Here is a 15,530-nt window from a genome sequence, read left to right on the forward strand (position 1 = left end):
GATACTTGCTCAAACACAATCCTATTGTATAAGTTTGAGTCATGTGTGTTCAACTGCCTTTTAGACAACTCCAGCTATATGTCCCAGAAAAACCTCAAACCTGACAACATTGAGACAATGCACAATGTTTTACTCCAAGTCTGTTTTATTATTTTTATTCCCCAACCCAGTCAATGGCACCATAGCTTACTAATATTTTCCAGATTTTCCAGAAATCTATCTAATGAGTGACCAGCCATATCTATCCCCATCTACTGAATATTTAGTAAGTCCGTGGGACCTCTCCAACTCCACGGGAACTGTACTGTTTACCCACATTATCTCATCCAGGATCACTGCAATAGCCTCTAATCTTGACTGCTCCCCCACCCATTTCAATTCAACTTCCAAGGGGCTGTTTCTGTAACCTCAAGCTGAACCACCCCTCCACAATACTCATGTTACTTAAATGGCATCCCCATTGCTCCAGATAAATGCATATCCCACTGCATGGCATACAATGTCCATTACAACTCTGTTCATTAATTGAACAATCCTGGCTCCCTCGCTTGCCTCTACTCAGTCATCTTCCATTTTATACTTCAGCAATATAGAACTAATGTAGTTGCCTGAACAGGTCAGGCGGTCTCCTGCCTTTCATATGCTCTTCTCTCATCCTGGAATACCATTTCCCACCTTATCCATAGGGAAACTACTATTTATCCATAAAGTCTCAGCTCAAATGTTACCTATTTGCATCCTTTTCTGACTGCACTATTTATTAAGTACCTACTAAGGCAAGATACCATGCCAGTCACTAATTACGTAGCAGAGTACATGAAGCAATATCCACAGGTACAATTACCCCTTCATCCATGCTACCTCTGCCCTTGCTGCCATTACAGCAAGAACGTTATCGAGTGGGAGTTATGTATATATCTGTCTTTCCATTCTATCATAACCACAATACTCAATAAAATATATGTTGAAAGAATGAAAAACTATAATTTGTCTCTTCAACTAATTTGTCCTCTGGTTTCACTGGATTTCTCAAAGAACGTAATCTAATACAAGGTGCAGTGGTCAAGAGTACCGGCTTTGGAGTCAAACAATCTCAGTCCCTAACTTGACTTTGCTATTCATTAGCTCTGTGACCTTGGATAGGCTACTTACGGCCTGTAAAATGGAGACAATAATGGTACCCTATTTCATAGTGCTGTCATGAGGAGCCGATGAAGCAATTCGTGTAAATAACTCAAAACAGCACCTCGCACAAAACAACTCTTCAATAAATGTTAACTTTTATTATTTTATATTTAATACTGCTCATCTATACATATAAGAGACAACAAATTATAGAAAGAAATAAAAATTAATTTATTGGTTCAAATAGTTACTTATGCTATAATTTTTACTACCCATATAATCTCCAATTGTGTTGAACCTAAAGAGTTAAACACACACACACACACACATGCACACATACGCACGCACACACAGCACACACATACATATGCATTTTCCAAACCAAGACTTGTCACCTGAGGATGAGGGTCAGAGAAAGGAGTGCTGCTGGTTATGGATGTTAAATAAACAATTTTTTCTTACAACAAACCCCTGGCACCCTGTTCTCACCATGTCATGGCCTGTGATGACTTAGTGTCTCCCAAGCATGACCAAGCGATTAGCGGGGCTGTGTCTGTGCATCTCGACAGTAATGGGAGCTCTCTTTCCATTTGCCATGTATTGAAGCCTGAGCGCTTCGCTGCTTCGTGCATTTTCAGCTTGATGAATTCATTATTCTCCATATTTTTCTCCTCCTTCCTTCAGAGAAAACTCTTTCCCCAAAATGCCAGGACTATTTTTTCCCTTTTTAAAGATGGGTGATTTTTAAATGGAAAAATTTTACATCAAGTGTGTAACAGCTTAGCTGCACTCAGTGCCACTTTGAGAAAAAGAAGAAAATCATGCAGTGTAAGTTCTCTGATTCAGATACCATAGTACAGCCTTTCACTGGATAGAAACATGCAGGTATAAGTTGGATATTTTCTAGAAAAAAGTATTTTCTTTTTGGATCTGAAAAGAAATGAGCCAAAAGTTTTATGTTCTAGATGGGCAATGATAGGCCATCTGAGCAAGAGATCTGAGCACTTATCTCCCATTCTTTGATTTTTTTTCTCCCCATAAACAAAGCACTGCCATACCTGGAGTATATCCCTCACCATTCCTCCCATACAATGAGCACCTGCCCAACCAACACTGTACTCATGGATAGAAATACAACTGGAGGGTGACAAGGGCAATTTCTGCAGAGCTATGGTTTTATAAAACACCTTCAGGAGAAAAGAGAAAAAAAGGTATTGAAAAAGAATGGAATAGTAGAGAGTAGAAGAGCACCTTACTTAAAACCAATCTTTGGCTTCCAAACTTAAGTGTTTTTAGCCATATAACTGCTGGGTTTCAGTAGCAAGAAAACTATAAAGGAGAACTCCACTTTACAATAAGCAATAGGCAAAGAGGTTCTTTTGGTGATTTCTAAATCAAGACCCAGAGTTTAATGAGCAGTAAGAACCTGGCACATACAAAAGGTGACATCACAGACACTGTTTTTTCCAGCCAATTGCTGATGCCTAGGTCACAATCATCAATAATTTTATCTTCACACACAAGATAACATGAGTCATCAGATAATTATATCTATGAGCATTAGGATAATGGTTTAAAGCTCTGGTCCGGGAGTCAGACCATCTGAATTTGAAACCTGACTAGTTACGTGACTTTGAACTGTTTTTTTTTTTTTTTTTTTTTAACTGTCTAAGCCTAAACTTTCTTATCTGTAAAGTGGGAATGCTACTACATACCTGATGTGTAACATACAGATTAAATGAAAGAATTCATTAAATGTGCTTAGCACTTTTATAGCTATTATTAGAATTAGTATTAGAATTAGAATTATTAGAATTAGTATACCAAGACAGTGGTATTGATTTTTTTATTTTTTTTTTGAGACAGGGTCTCGCTCTGTTACCCAGGTTGGAGATTGGTGGTGTGATCTAGGCTCTCTGCAGCCTCGATCTCCTGGGCTCAAGTGATCCTCTGACCTCAGCCTCCCTAATAGCTAGGACTATAGGCATGCGCCACCACACCTGGCTAACTTTTGTATTTTTTGCAAAGACGGGGTTTTGCCATGTTGCCCAGACTGGTCTCAAACTCCTGGGCTCAAGCGATCCTCCCATCTTGGCCTCTCAAAGTGCTAGGATTACAAACGTGATGTACTGATTTTTTTGGTGAGGGAGTTCCATGACACATCTTCAAAGACTTACTTCCTTTTTCAAAAGCAGGTATCAAAGATCTTCCTGGGTTAAAACTTTTGTTGATATTGTTGTTATACTAGAATTTTAAATTTTACCAAATAAAATAATCCCTTTCGCGTGCATGTGCATGTGTGTGTGTGTGTGTGTGTGTGTGTGTGTGTGTAAACAATAAGGATCTACTCCAAAAAGTCAGTAATATGTAATGACAGCAGTGTTTTTTGCAACGCATACCAAGTTATTATAAAAAATGCATTCTTCTATAAGATGATATAAACGATAACCTGCCTGCTAATTGGGTTTCTTACATAGAGGTCTTATCTCCCAGAAGGTGAAAATGTCCTAAATGGATATCTCCTCCATTTGGTGAAATATCCTTATAACCTGCAATCCTTCTCAGAGACACAACCTTGCTGTGGTCACAGAAGATGACGCTTCAGATCTAAATATAGGGTCATGGTGCTGGGAGAGGGGGCGGAGAGATAATAAGAATGGGGGGGGGTATGTGGAGGCTCAAGCACTATAAATAACCAAAGAACACGACTACATTTAGAACTTCCCATGTGTAGAATTCAAGCAAATCTTGTGCTTTGTTTCTTGAAACAAAAGAAACAAGAGCATCGTTCAGGTTTCTGGGAGCCCCTGGCAGGAATATACTCTTCCGTATATTTTTTCTTTTGAAGAACTGAGAACTCAAAATAAATCCTCGTGATCATTTTAAGATCTTCTAATCCCCAAAATGCATCCTTACTACACTTAGAGAATGACCTGCCCACACAAGCTGACAATAGCTTCATGCAAAATAGCTCCCTAAACATAAAAGGGTATTTTGGCAAAGGCTTAACAAGCAGAGTACATATTTCAGTTGCAAGTATTTCTCTAACATCTCCAATATGGAAGCTTCTTATAATATTTTAGCAGAAACAAACATCTGTTTTGGGGACGACACCTGATAATTTTAACCATTCCTATAATGGGAAAGTGCTTACTAGAGGAAATGTTTACAAAGATTCTTTGTGCAGTAAGGATGGCCCAGGTGTCCATAAAAACATCTGCTCAGCAAAAGCACAACCAACATTGCTGAAATCTCTAGGCTGTCTCCATTCAAAATGTTTCTAGGCTACATGCTAGAGAAGAGAATCCCTTAGTGAGCCCACAGGAGAGTTATTTGCATAATCCTTGGTTATTCACAGATATTTGGTGACTAATCTGCATTCCTGTCAAATTGAAGGGGGTCTACATACCCGTGGATTTGTGGCATCCCAGGAGAAGTCTGGGTCCATAAACCAGTGAATGAATCCCATTAACACATATATGTAGCTTCTTCATCTGTGACATCAATGACATTTTTTACTTGCCTATTTCTGAATATTCTTTATTAAATAATAAACTCAAGAATAATTTCATACAAATCACCAGTGTATGTAAGTATTATTTCCTGTTATTTCAATGGTTTCCTCACAGGCTAAAGTATGGCTCCAGTTTCAGAATCACGGCTGGGTTTGCCAGTATGGAACCCCTTTATGGCAGGTGCAGCTTCCAAGGCTACTTTTACAAAACCTAACCCATAAAAGATCAGCTGGAGAGAATCTGTGAATAACTATGAACTTCAAAACATATTTCTAAGTATCAGAGGCAGGTGTGATAGGGCAGGAGATTCTTTTGAACAGCCTAATAAATCACCTTTCAGTTTTTCCCAACACCACAGGAAAGAACCTCTGGTAAAGGAATTCTTTAGCCAGAAGATGTGCCTTTCCCAACCCACCTCCACGCACTGGAAGAGGTGAGCCATTACAACTCGGAGTAGCATGCTGGAAGCTTTACCCTCCAATCCAGGCTGGAGAAGGAAGAGGTAGTACAAGGTTTCTCCAAATATTTCAAAGGCAAAGTTGCTTCCTTCATAACTAAATTCCAGTAAATGGCTTTATATCTCCCTGTGCTGGACTAATCTTCCCCATCTCTATATCTTTGATGTTAATGGTATGATTTTTATTTTCAGTTAGGAAGTTGCTTTCCCATTGGGTTAAATGGAATAAAACTCACCTCTTCTATATTGTGTAAGACAATGTTGGTCAAGTCTTGCTTGAAGGCCATTTGTCTGACACCATTCATCAACTACCATAATCTTATCATTTATGGTGGGGGACAGTCAGGACTGTTGGTAGCAAAACTCTTAGAGGGTAAATGTATTCAAACTTTTACCTTAGATTTGATCCAGAAGACTGAGGTTGGATATGGGTTGGCTGCCAAGGTAGATGGCATCTGCCACACAGAGACAGACAAGGAATTAGAAAGCAAAAAGCTAAGCAAGAGTCATACAAATGTATACCAGTCCTTGGGAATTAAAATATAGGTCTCTTAGACAGGACATGAAATAGGTAAAGACCATGACAACTTCTAAAACCATGATATGGGCAAAGATAGCTTGACCACAAAGCTAAAGGAGTCTAATCTTTAGGTCCCCTCACTACGGAAGCTCTTCTCAAGGCCCTGTGTACACATAGTTGTATATTTTGGTGACATTTCCTATAGCAAGATATTTTAACCACAGTTGATCTCTGGCTTTCCCTCCACATGTCTCTTGGGTTGGGTGACCCAGGAATGATCCCAGACATTCCTGGTATTTGGCAAAGGAACAGCTGAGTTGTCAATATATTTATTTTGGGTTTCATAGTTTATATTTAGGTGGCTCACAATCACATATACTTAAATTATTGTTAGTTATTCCCGTGTAGGAATAACTTGTAGGAACGCTTCTACCACTCCATCCACTCTGTACAGGTACCATGTCTGAGAATGCAGATTCAGAAATTGTATAGAGACGTAAACATGTGGCCTGGCTCCAAACCAATGGGTCATAGATGAGAGAAGGTTTGAGGCCGGCATGGTGGCTCATGCCTCTAATCCCAGCACTTTGGGAGGCGAAGGTGGGCAGATCTCTTGAGGCCAGGAGTCAACCAGCCTGAGAAACATAGAGAAACCTCGTCTCTGTAAAATAATAATAATAATAATAATACAAAAATCAGCCTGGAGTGGCGGGGCATGGCTGTGGTCCCAGCTACTCGGGAGGCTGAGGCTGGAGGATCGCTTGAGCCCGAGGGGCAGAGATTGCAGTGAGCCAATATCACACGACTGTACTCCAGCCTGGGCAATAGAGAGAGACTCTGCCTCAAAATAAATAAATAAAATGAACTAAAAGAAGAAAAAGGGCTTGAAATGCATAGACCTAGTCTGGAAAATTCTTCTAAATCTCCCAGCTCATATATGAAAGAAGCTTGAATAGAGTTTTTCCAAAAATTCGACAACAATCCTAAAAATTTACATAATGTTGCCAATAATGAGTAGTGTAACTAAAAGAAGACATTTTAAACCATCAATAATAAGAAACAAATTTCAGTCAACATGCTAGAGAAAAGACTAAATTTTCTTTCTATTCTCTCTATAGAAAATGACATTACAAAATCTTTGTTGTCAAAGAAGAGGCAATCGAAGAGCATGTAGCCAAAAAATACAGAAAAGATATTTTACAGAGGAGTGCCAGACAGTTCATTAGAATTTTGTTATTTTTCTGGATTTTTTAAAAGTTGTGATATTTGTAAGCTTTGTTACATTTAAAATTTGTCATGATTTTCTTTCCCATTCTGAACAAATATTCACTTTTGCACCTAATTTTGCATTTTTAGTTTGATATCCTTTCTCTAACATAGCTGTGCTTAAGGAAAAAGAGCATGCTTCCATGCATGACTCAGTTTAAAGAAAAGCCATCAACCTATGAAGGAATACAATGCTAGTGGCACCAGGGACTCCAAGGGGAGAACAGTCATTGCTGCTGCCTGGTTCAGCTTCCCTCTCCTGCTTAGAAATGTCTTTCTCATACTGAACGTTTGGGATGTCTGAATGTGTGTGTACTTTAAAGAGGGATGTGATGATACCATTACAATCCTACTTCCTCTTTGAGGTGAAATCAAATTTCAGGGGAAGAAGACAAATGAAGGGATACAGAGAGTTTTATCTCTATTCTGTAGAAGAGTTTGGTTAAGAGTTTGATGAAGTACTCATTTCCTTTCTACCACTGTCTACCCTATGAGCTTAAGTCCAGGACAGGCACTCCCTGGGAACAGCAGGAGTTGCCAGTGCCCCACTCCCATCCCTTCTTCCTTACCAAGTTAGTGAAGGCTGGCTTATCTGCCATCACCTAAAACTTTTTTGCTCAAAGGCATTCTCTGGCCACTATGATGGTTTGCCTATCTGCTTGCATGGCAGCAGAGCTGTACCAGGGAATTGATCCCTCACCCAAGCTCTAACCAATGATCGACAGAAGAGTTAGTATACAAATATTCCATCTTTTTCACCCTTTGGTGGCATCACTCTAAAACTTCCCAGAGTTTCCCAGCAAGACTGAACTCCAGTTATCCACAGTGGTAACTTAATAACAAAACCTTTTATTGGCTGCCTTTCCTTCTCTGTCTTATTTCCTTATTTTTCTACTCTGATCACCTCCCAGATAAACTATATGCCCCTGAATCTTTGTCTTGGAGTCTGTTCCTGCAGAAACTCAAAATAAGGTGTTGCTTTATTGAAGCCTTATTAGAGAAAACACAATTGGAAGAAAGTAAAGGTACATCTAGAGTTGCATAATTCCTATTACTTTACTTATTATCATCAAGTCCAGAAGCCATATATGGCCAACAGCATGATTGCTTTCTGGTTACCCTGAATGTGACATTTGAGGGTGAGAAATTACTTACCATCAGGATTTAGGTATTCCATTATCACTGTAGAAACTTTTTGGATTACCTGTAAAAGACTATTTTTGATCTCCCATACTTATCAGTTGTTTTCCTTATTGTAATTTTCAACCCTCAATGTATGTTGCTTGTGAACACAGGAACTCAGCAGCAAAACTCACTGCCTCCCTCTTCCTAGCTGCTACATGGGTCTCCTTCAGGTTCCCTGTCCAACTAGCTCTTGGCTGTGGACTCATTCTTAATTTCTGTCCTTCTGTTTGAGAACCCCAACCCTCAGATTTACTGGGTTCTGATATGGTGGCTTGAATATTCAATCCATACTTAGTTCCTCTTTAGGGGTAGCTACTTGAGCTTGATAATACCATATTTGTATATTTCCCTGGCTTAGATTCTGGTACTTGAAGGTAAAACTCTTGAAGGAGTTATTCTAGATATCTTCCTAGATGATTCATGCCTTTCAGACAGCAGCAATGGACACTTCTGGGCTTTCTTCTCCTTTAACCTTAGTCATTTACCACAGCCCCAAGGAGAATGTCTATTATGACGTTCAGACAAAACTGAATGAAAAATAAGTGTGCCTAAAGAAAATGAAAGGGCCTCATGTTTTGAAGTACTTCAAGTTTTCCAGTCCACTAAAATGGATGAGAGTTAACCACAGTCATAGCCCTTTAATTGGGATTACAACAATCACACTTCCACCATGAGACTTGAAAGGCAGATGCTGGAGATAGAGCCTTTCTTGCCCACACAACTATAAGTGCCTATTGTTTGTATCTAATGACCTGTCTGAATATTCTAGAGTGGGTAATTTTTCATACATCAAAACTCAACACCAGATATCGGTGTCTTTTTATTTAAAAAGGGAGATTTGGGTGGCTCACATATGAAATCCCAGCACTTTGGGAGGCTGAGGCGGGTGGATTGTTTGAGCCCCAGAGATTAAGACTAGCCTGGGCAACATGATAAAACCCCATCTCCATCTCTAAAAAAATACAAAAATTAGCCAGTCATGGTGGCACGTACCTGTAGTCCCAGCTACTCAGGAGGCTGAAGTGAAACAATTGAGCTGCAGTGAGCCGTGATGTTGCCACTGCACTCTGTCTGCATGGTAGAGACTCTGTCTCAAAAAAAAAAAAAAAAAAAAAAACACAGTGGGAGTGATTTATAAATTTATCTAATGTATCAAGTTTTCTCCAGTTGAAATCATCAACCAATAGGTGAAAATAGGCTTTCGAGGATTCCATCAATCAAAAAACCCAACCCCAATTTTTGATAGCATGGATGTACATGTGTGTATTTAAATATAGCCCCAAATTTCCTTCATGCAATTTCCTATTCTGATACATACTTATTATTCACCTACGTCAATCAGCTCAGTGATGGCTTACACTTTCCTTCATATTCAGAGAAAAAGTGTGTCCCTGCAGCTTCCTTTTTCCAGGCAATATGACTTGGTTTCCATGGGCTTCTACCTATGGCTTAGCAATAGGTATTTACAAGGCACTTTCCACTGGAAAGTCCTGGTGAGAAGAAAGTTCTTCTGTATCACTAGTTGTTGGTATGTTTCAATGAGTTTCTAACTTTACTTTCTAAAATGAGTGGCTTGGCTTTAGTCTAAATGAACAGTGTGCATGGGGGAGGAGACAGAGAAAGATAACCTGAGCTTTTTATAATGTGTCTTAGCTGAGATGTGGACGGTTAACAAGGTACATAATGATCTACAGAAACACTGAGAAATTCTCCGTTATACCCAACAATTCTTTAGAGTCAAAAAAAAATTGTCTGAACTCACAAAGGAATGTCACCAGAAATTTGTCCAATATGGTTCTACTCTTGGGTCAAACCATTCAGATTTTCACAGTGGTGTCAGTGAAGGGATGGCATGACAGGCAAAGATAACATTTCTAGAAAAATGGATGCTGATCAATGTGTAACCCAACCCTAAAAAATGGATGTTTTCCAAACTGAACCAATGAGTCCTATTGTTAAAGTTGAATAACAGCACTACTTATCCAAATTTCAAAAATATTTTTTTAAAGTAAAAAGCATATAACTTTAAAAATAATCAATGCAAACAACGTTTTAGCCTCATTTATATATATTTTTTAAACATTTGGTGCATAGTACCTTTTTGTATCCTAAAGTTTAGCAAAAAGAGTTAAAGAGTTAATTTCATATAGTGTTGACCCTTGAACAACATGGGCTTAAACTATGTGGGTCCACTTGTATGCGGATTTTCTCCCATCTTGGCCACCCCTGAGACAGCAAAACCAATTCCTCCTCTTCCTCCTCCTCAGCCTACTCAATGTGAAGATGACAGGAGTCATGACCTTTATGATAATCTCCTTCCACTTAACTAATAGTAAATATATTTTCTCTTCCTTATGGTTTTCTTAATAACATTTTCTTTTCTCTATCTTACTTTATTGTAAGGATACAGTATATAACACATATAACATACAAAATATGTGTTGAACCATGTTTATTTTAAAGTTTCTGGTCAACAGTAGGCTGTTAGTAGTTAAGTTTAGAGGAGTCAAAAAGTTATAAGTGGATTTTCAACTCTGCATTGTTCTAGGGTCAATTGTACTGTATTGCTATTTCCTGTGGTCCTATAAAGCAGGGGTCCCCAACTGCCCCCCAACCCCACCCCATATACATCCATGGCCTGTTAGGAAACTGGTTGCATAGCAGGAGGTGAGTGACAGGGAGGCGAGCACTACCATCTGAGCTCTGCCTCCTGTCAGATCAGCAGTGGCATTAGATTCTCATAGAAGCATGAACCCTATTATGAATTGTTCATGCAAGGGATCTAGTTTGCGTGCTCCTTATGAGAATTGAAGTAATGCCTGATGATCTGAGGTAAAACAGTTTCATCCCAAAACCATCCCCCACCCATCCATGGAAAAATTATCTTCCACAAAACCTGTTTCCGGCGCCAAAAAGGTTGGGGACTGTTGCTATAAAGAGCACTAATACTGTACCATTGAAACCAACATAGAATCCTTGCTCTGATGTCACAGGATTTTTCCTGTCCTCAGCCAACGTCTAGGTAATCCCAAGCGTTTTGTTGTTGCTGCTGCTGCTGCTGTTATCATCCATCATTGCTAAAACTTATTAACTCGGCATATATTCATTGGGAGCCTACTCTGGGCCAAGCACTGGATGAACAGACGAACAAGATAAAGTGTCCACTCTCATGAGGTTTACACATCTGATGGGGGAAATAGCTAATTGATAAGTAAATATATTCCCATTAGAGAACTGCAGAATAGGATAGGCTGGGATGGGATAGCATGGGATGGGATGGGATAGGATGGGATGGGATGGGATGGGATGGGATGGGATGGGATGGGATGGGATGGGATGGGATGGGATGGGATGGGATAGAATATTCCTTGAAGAACAAGAAACAGGAAAGGGAGGTAGAGTGTGATAAGCCATGGCTATGTTAGAGAAGGTTAGAATAGGCCTCTGAATCCAAGCCATGTTTGGTCCCAATGTAAACTATACATTCTGCAAATAAGCATGAATTCTCCCTAGAAAGAAATTTCCAGGCGTGTTTTATTTGTGCCACTAAATGTGCAACATATGTATGTGTGTCTGTTGTAAATCACTTTGCCCAAGTTCCACTTCATTCCATCTTGGGATACTCCTGGGCTGTGATTTTTCATCCCTAACCTTTACCAGACAGTGTGTGATACGCTGCTTTCAGAGGCCAAAAAATAATAGGGGGTTGCCAAGTTGATTTTGGATTCCCATGCAGTCTGGATTTTTCAGACCAAATGAATTGGTTGGACCTACATAACCTCAATTAAGATGGGAATGGGGGCTTCACCTTGATCACACATCCTAAACCACACACAGTGCTTAAGCTTCCAAGCTGTCAGTCTTTGTGACTCCCCTTCAGTGATATTTAACTACTTATGACATGAGATTTTGAAAGCTTTTTGAAAGTCTTATTCACTAATGGAGAAGCCTCTTACATATTTTATAAAACTAAACAAACATCAAAGTTAACACTCAAATGCAACCTGTTCTTAAACTCTCAGAGCCTTGTCAGGATCTGAATCCCTCCTGCAAGTTCTATTAAAACAAACAGTGCAAGAGTCTTGAATTATTAGAGATAAAATCAGATTATAAGCTTCCTGAGGGCAAAGATTTTATTTTACATTGTTTTGTTCCTCAGTACCCAGCATAGTGCCTGACATAAAGTAAATGATCAAAAAATGTTTGTTTAATTGTATTAATGGGGGAGAAAGTTGTAAGATATTTAACCACACAAAACACTCAGCTTTTGTTACTTTTCCTTTAAACATTATTAGATATCTCCAAAGTTAAACTGTGACTGAAAATAAAAATTATTTGTAAACATAGATATCAAATTCCAATATTGGTTTGAAGCAAACCAAACTCCCTATAATACTTTACAGATTCCCAAAATTTACAAAGCTCATGCAGGCTTAATGTATACCATTATTATCAAAGAATATGATGACAGTGATTATAACAATAGTTACCATTAATTAAGTGCTAACCATGGTGCCAGATGCCTCATTATGTCCTTCCGTCTTTGTTCAGCAAGTCACTACACAATGTCACCTCCCACATCAAAGAGGCTTCCTATAATCACCATCTAAAATATCACCTCCATTTGATCCCTCTCACTCCTCACCTTGTTTTATCATCCACCCACTGATATATTTGTTTCAATTGTTTACTAGGTTTAGCTCTACCAACCCGAATGTAAGTTTCAAAAAAGTAGGAGCTCTAACTTCATTGTTTACTCTTAGATCTTTAGCAATTAGTAGAAATTCAACAAGTAGTTGATGAATGAATGAATGAATGAGTTATTTTATTCACACTTTAAAACAACTCTGCAAAGTAGTATATTTAGCCACAAGAAATTGAACCTACATTTCTCTAAGTCTCATACTCTTCCTGGTACCTCATGCAAACATGTGTTGAATAAACAAAAAGGTGAGAGAAAGCCCTCCTCCCTCACCATCTCCCTCCTTCTCCTACCTTTCTATGGCACAACTGAAATCTCCACTTCTCACTTCACTTGCCTATTTTCAGGAAACACAATGAGCAAAATTCACACATATTAATCATTTTCCATGCTACTTTTATATAACTTATATGCAACCCAAGAAGAAAAAGTTATATCATTTGGAGTTTGGGAGCAGAGACAGTTGGATTTAAGAACCATCTCTGAGTCACCTGAAGCATCCCTGCAGTGTGAAAAAAGCCTAAGGCAGAGACCGGAATCAGATACCTCCATTACTTTGAACTCACCCGGAGATGATGAGGGCAGATCCAAGGTTAAGGTGACAGATATTCCCGTACCGCAGTCTTGCCCATTTATATCCAAGACCCTCCACCTCTGAGGTACCCTGTTGAATGACTCACTCCTGGCTAGGTTTGTGGCTCAAAAAATATTGGGTAGAGATTGCGCTCACTCTGGCTCCTGTTCCACAATGATCTCACTCCAGCTCCTGGTCCATAATGATGAGGTTCTGCCTGAATTATAGCCTATAGCAGATTTTCAGTTACTTCTTTCAGAAAAATGGACTTTTATCTTCCTTATACTTCAAATTTTATCTCCAGGTAAATATCACTTTTTCTCTAATACATTTTTATTTCATGAATATGATGGATGAAAACAGGAGCCAATGTTTTAATTGCTCTAATAAAATGAATCATCTCTTTCATTCTCGTTTTACTCCTTGCAAAGACTTTTTAAAAAATCTGTAAGTGCATTTCTGAGAGTTCTTAAATGTAAGCATATCTCTGAGCTTGCTAACTACATTTTCCATAGTAGGTTATTTAAAATGTATCTTTAAAGTAGATTACATGTCTCAGGGGACTGGTAATGGGCTATAGAGTCACTCACTTTGAAGCCACCAGTTCAAATTTTGTCTAGACATTAAGCAGCGAAAAAAAATCATTTCAACTGACAATTGTTTGGCTTACTTTTGTGGAAGATGAGTTAGTAGCTCCTCTCCAGTCCCAGGTATGCATTTTACAAATACCAACCATCATCTTGGAGGCATTAAAGGAGACCCTCCCAGTGATGGGGCACCCGGAAGGGGTGTTGTCTGCACAAACACACACACGGATACATGTGACTGCACACACATATAAACCCATGTGTGTAAACACACACACACACACACACATCCTGGTACAACTACTTTGTGCTTATCCATAAGAGACGGTAAAAAAGTATATATTGGCCTTGTATTTGACAACACTCAATTCAGTCCTAACCGTTCGACAACTTCTTTTTTTTTCTTGAGACTCCTCTCTGTATCGCCCAGGCTGGAGTGCAGTGGCGCTATGTCGGCTCACTGCAAGCTCCATCTCCAGGGTTCACGCCATTCTCCTGCCTCAGCCTCCGGAGTAGCTGGGACTACAGGTGCCCACCACCACGCCCGGCTAATTTTTTGTATTTTTTTTTTAGTAGAGACGGGCTTTCACTGTGTTACCGGGATGGTCTCGATCTCCTGACCTCGTGATCCACCCACCTCGGCCTCTCAAAGTGCTGGGATTACAGGTGTGAGCCACCGTGCCCGGCCCCGTCCAACAACTTCTAAATTTGCCTACAACCCTCAGTGATCCTGCTCTTGCTGTGCAGATTTCTGCACACAGATGAGAGCACCTTCATAAGCCAGCTTTGCTGTTTACTGTGATGAAACAGAAGATGGCATTCGTCTTCAGGGATGTCAATCTGGAAGCTTTTAGGAACACTAGCCTGCACTTAAAGATCAAAGACGACTGAGATGACTCTTCTGAAATAGAACCTTTCCTCAGGACTCAGGAGACCAAAGGCCATTCTTGACCCCTGCCCCTCCTTCATCTCTTGCATCCAATACATATGCATGCCCTGTTCTTCTATTCTCTTTATATACCCTGAATTCATCACTTATTTGCATTATCACCACCTTAGGGAAGGCCACTGTCATCTCTCACCCTGATGACTGAAACGACTTCCTCACTGTCCGTTGCCTATCTGTGGTTTTCCTCCATTCATTCTCCATGATACTACCAGAGTGTCTCTCCAAAATGTCACTCCTCTGCTTAAAACCCTTCAGTGGCTCTCCATTGCCTTCAGGATGAGGTCCCTAATCCTTAGCTTAGCCAATAAGATTTTTAGGATTTCACCCCTGTGGGCTCCTTCATTGTCATTCCTGTAAGAAGCATGCTTCCAATGGCTAGGCATGAATTGCCACTTTCTACCGCTTCCCTAGTTACTGTTAAATGATCCTTCTTGACTCAACCTAGCTGTCATTTCTTCCAGAGGGTATCCTGATCCTTCCAAATTCTAGGTTGGGTGTTATTCTTATAGCCCTATCATTTCACTTTCCACCTATACTAGAATCTCCTTCAGGCAGAATCTGAATCTTATTCACTGTCAAGTCCCTGGTTAGTAATATCTAGATTGTAATAATATGAATAAATAAATGAGGTCAGAATTTTAAGAATTGCT

General features: G+C 39.5%; 1 protein-coding gene across 37 annotated transcripts in view, besides 1 other annotated feature; it reads right to left on the minus strand.

Moving 5' to 3' along the window:
- The window catches only part of ESRRG (estrogen related receptor gamma), a 634,457-nt gene that overhangs the window by 477,020 nt on the left and 141,907 nt on the right, over positions 1-15,530 (minus strand). The window lies entirely within an intron of this gene.
- Positions 14,506-15,005: an enhancer, noted in NCBI's record as "H3K4me1 hESC enhancer chr1:217168113-217168612 (GRCh37/hg19 assembly coordinates)". NCBI's record gives its function as "activates a minimal SCP1, AML or CMV promoter by ChIP-STARR-seq in naive H9 embryonic stem cells {active_cell/tissue: H9 hESC(naive)}" and the evidence as "EXISTENCE:reporter gene assay evidence [ECO:0000049][PMID:30033119]".

Source organism: Homo sapiens, chromosome 1 (assembly GCF_000001405.40).
Source record: "Homo sapiens chromosome 1, GRCh38.p14 Primary Assembly".
Classification (NCBI taxonomy): domain Eukaryota; kingdom Metazoa; phylum Chordata; class Mammalia; order Primates; family Hominidae; genus Homo; species Homo sapiens.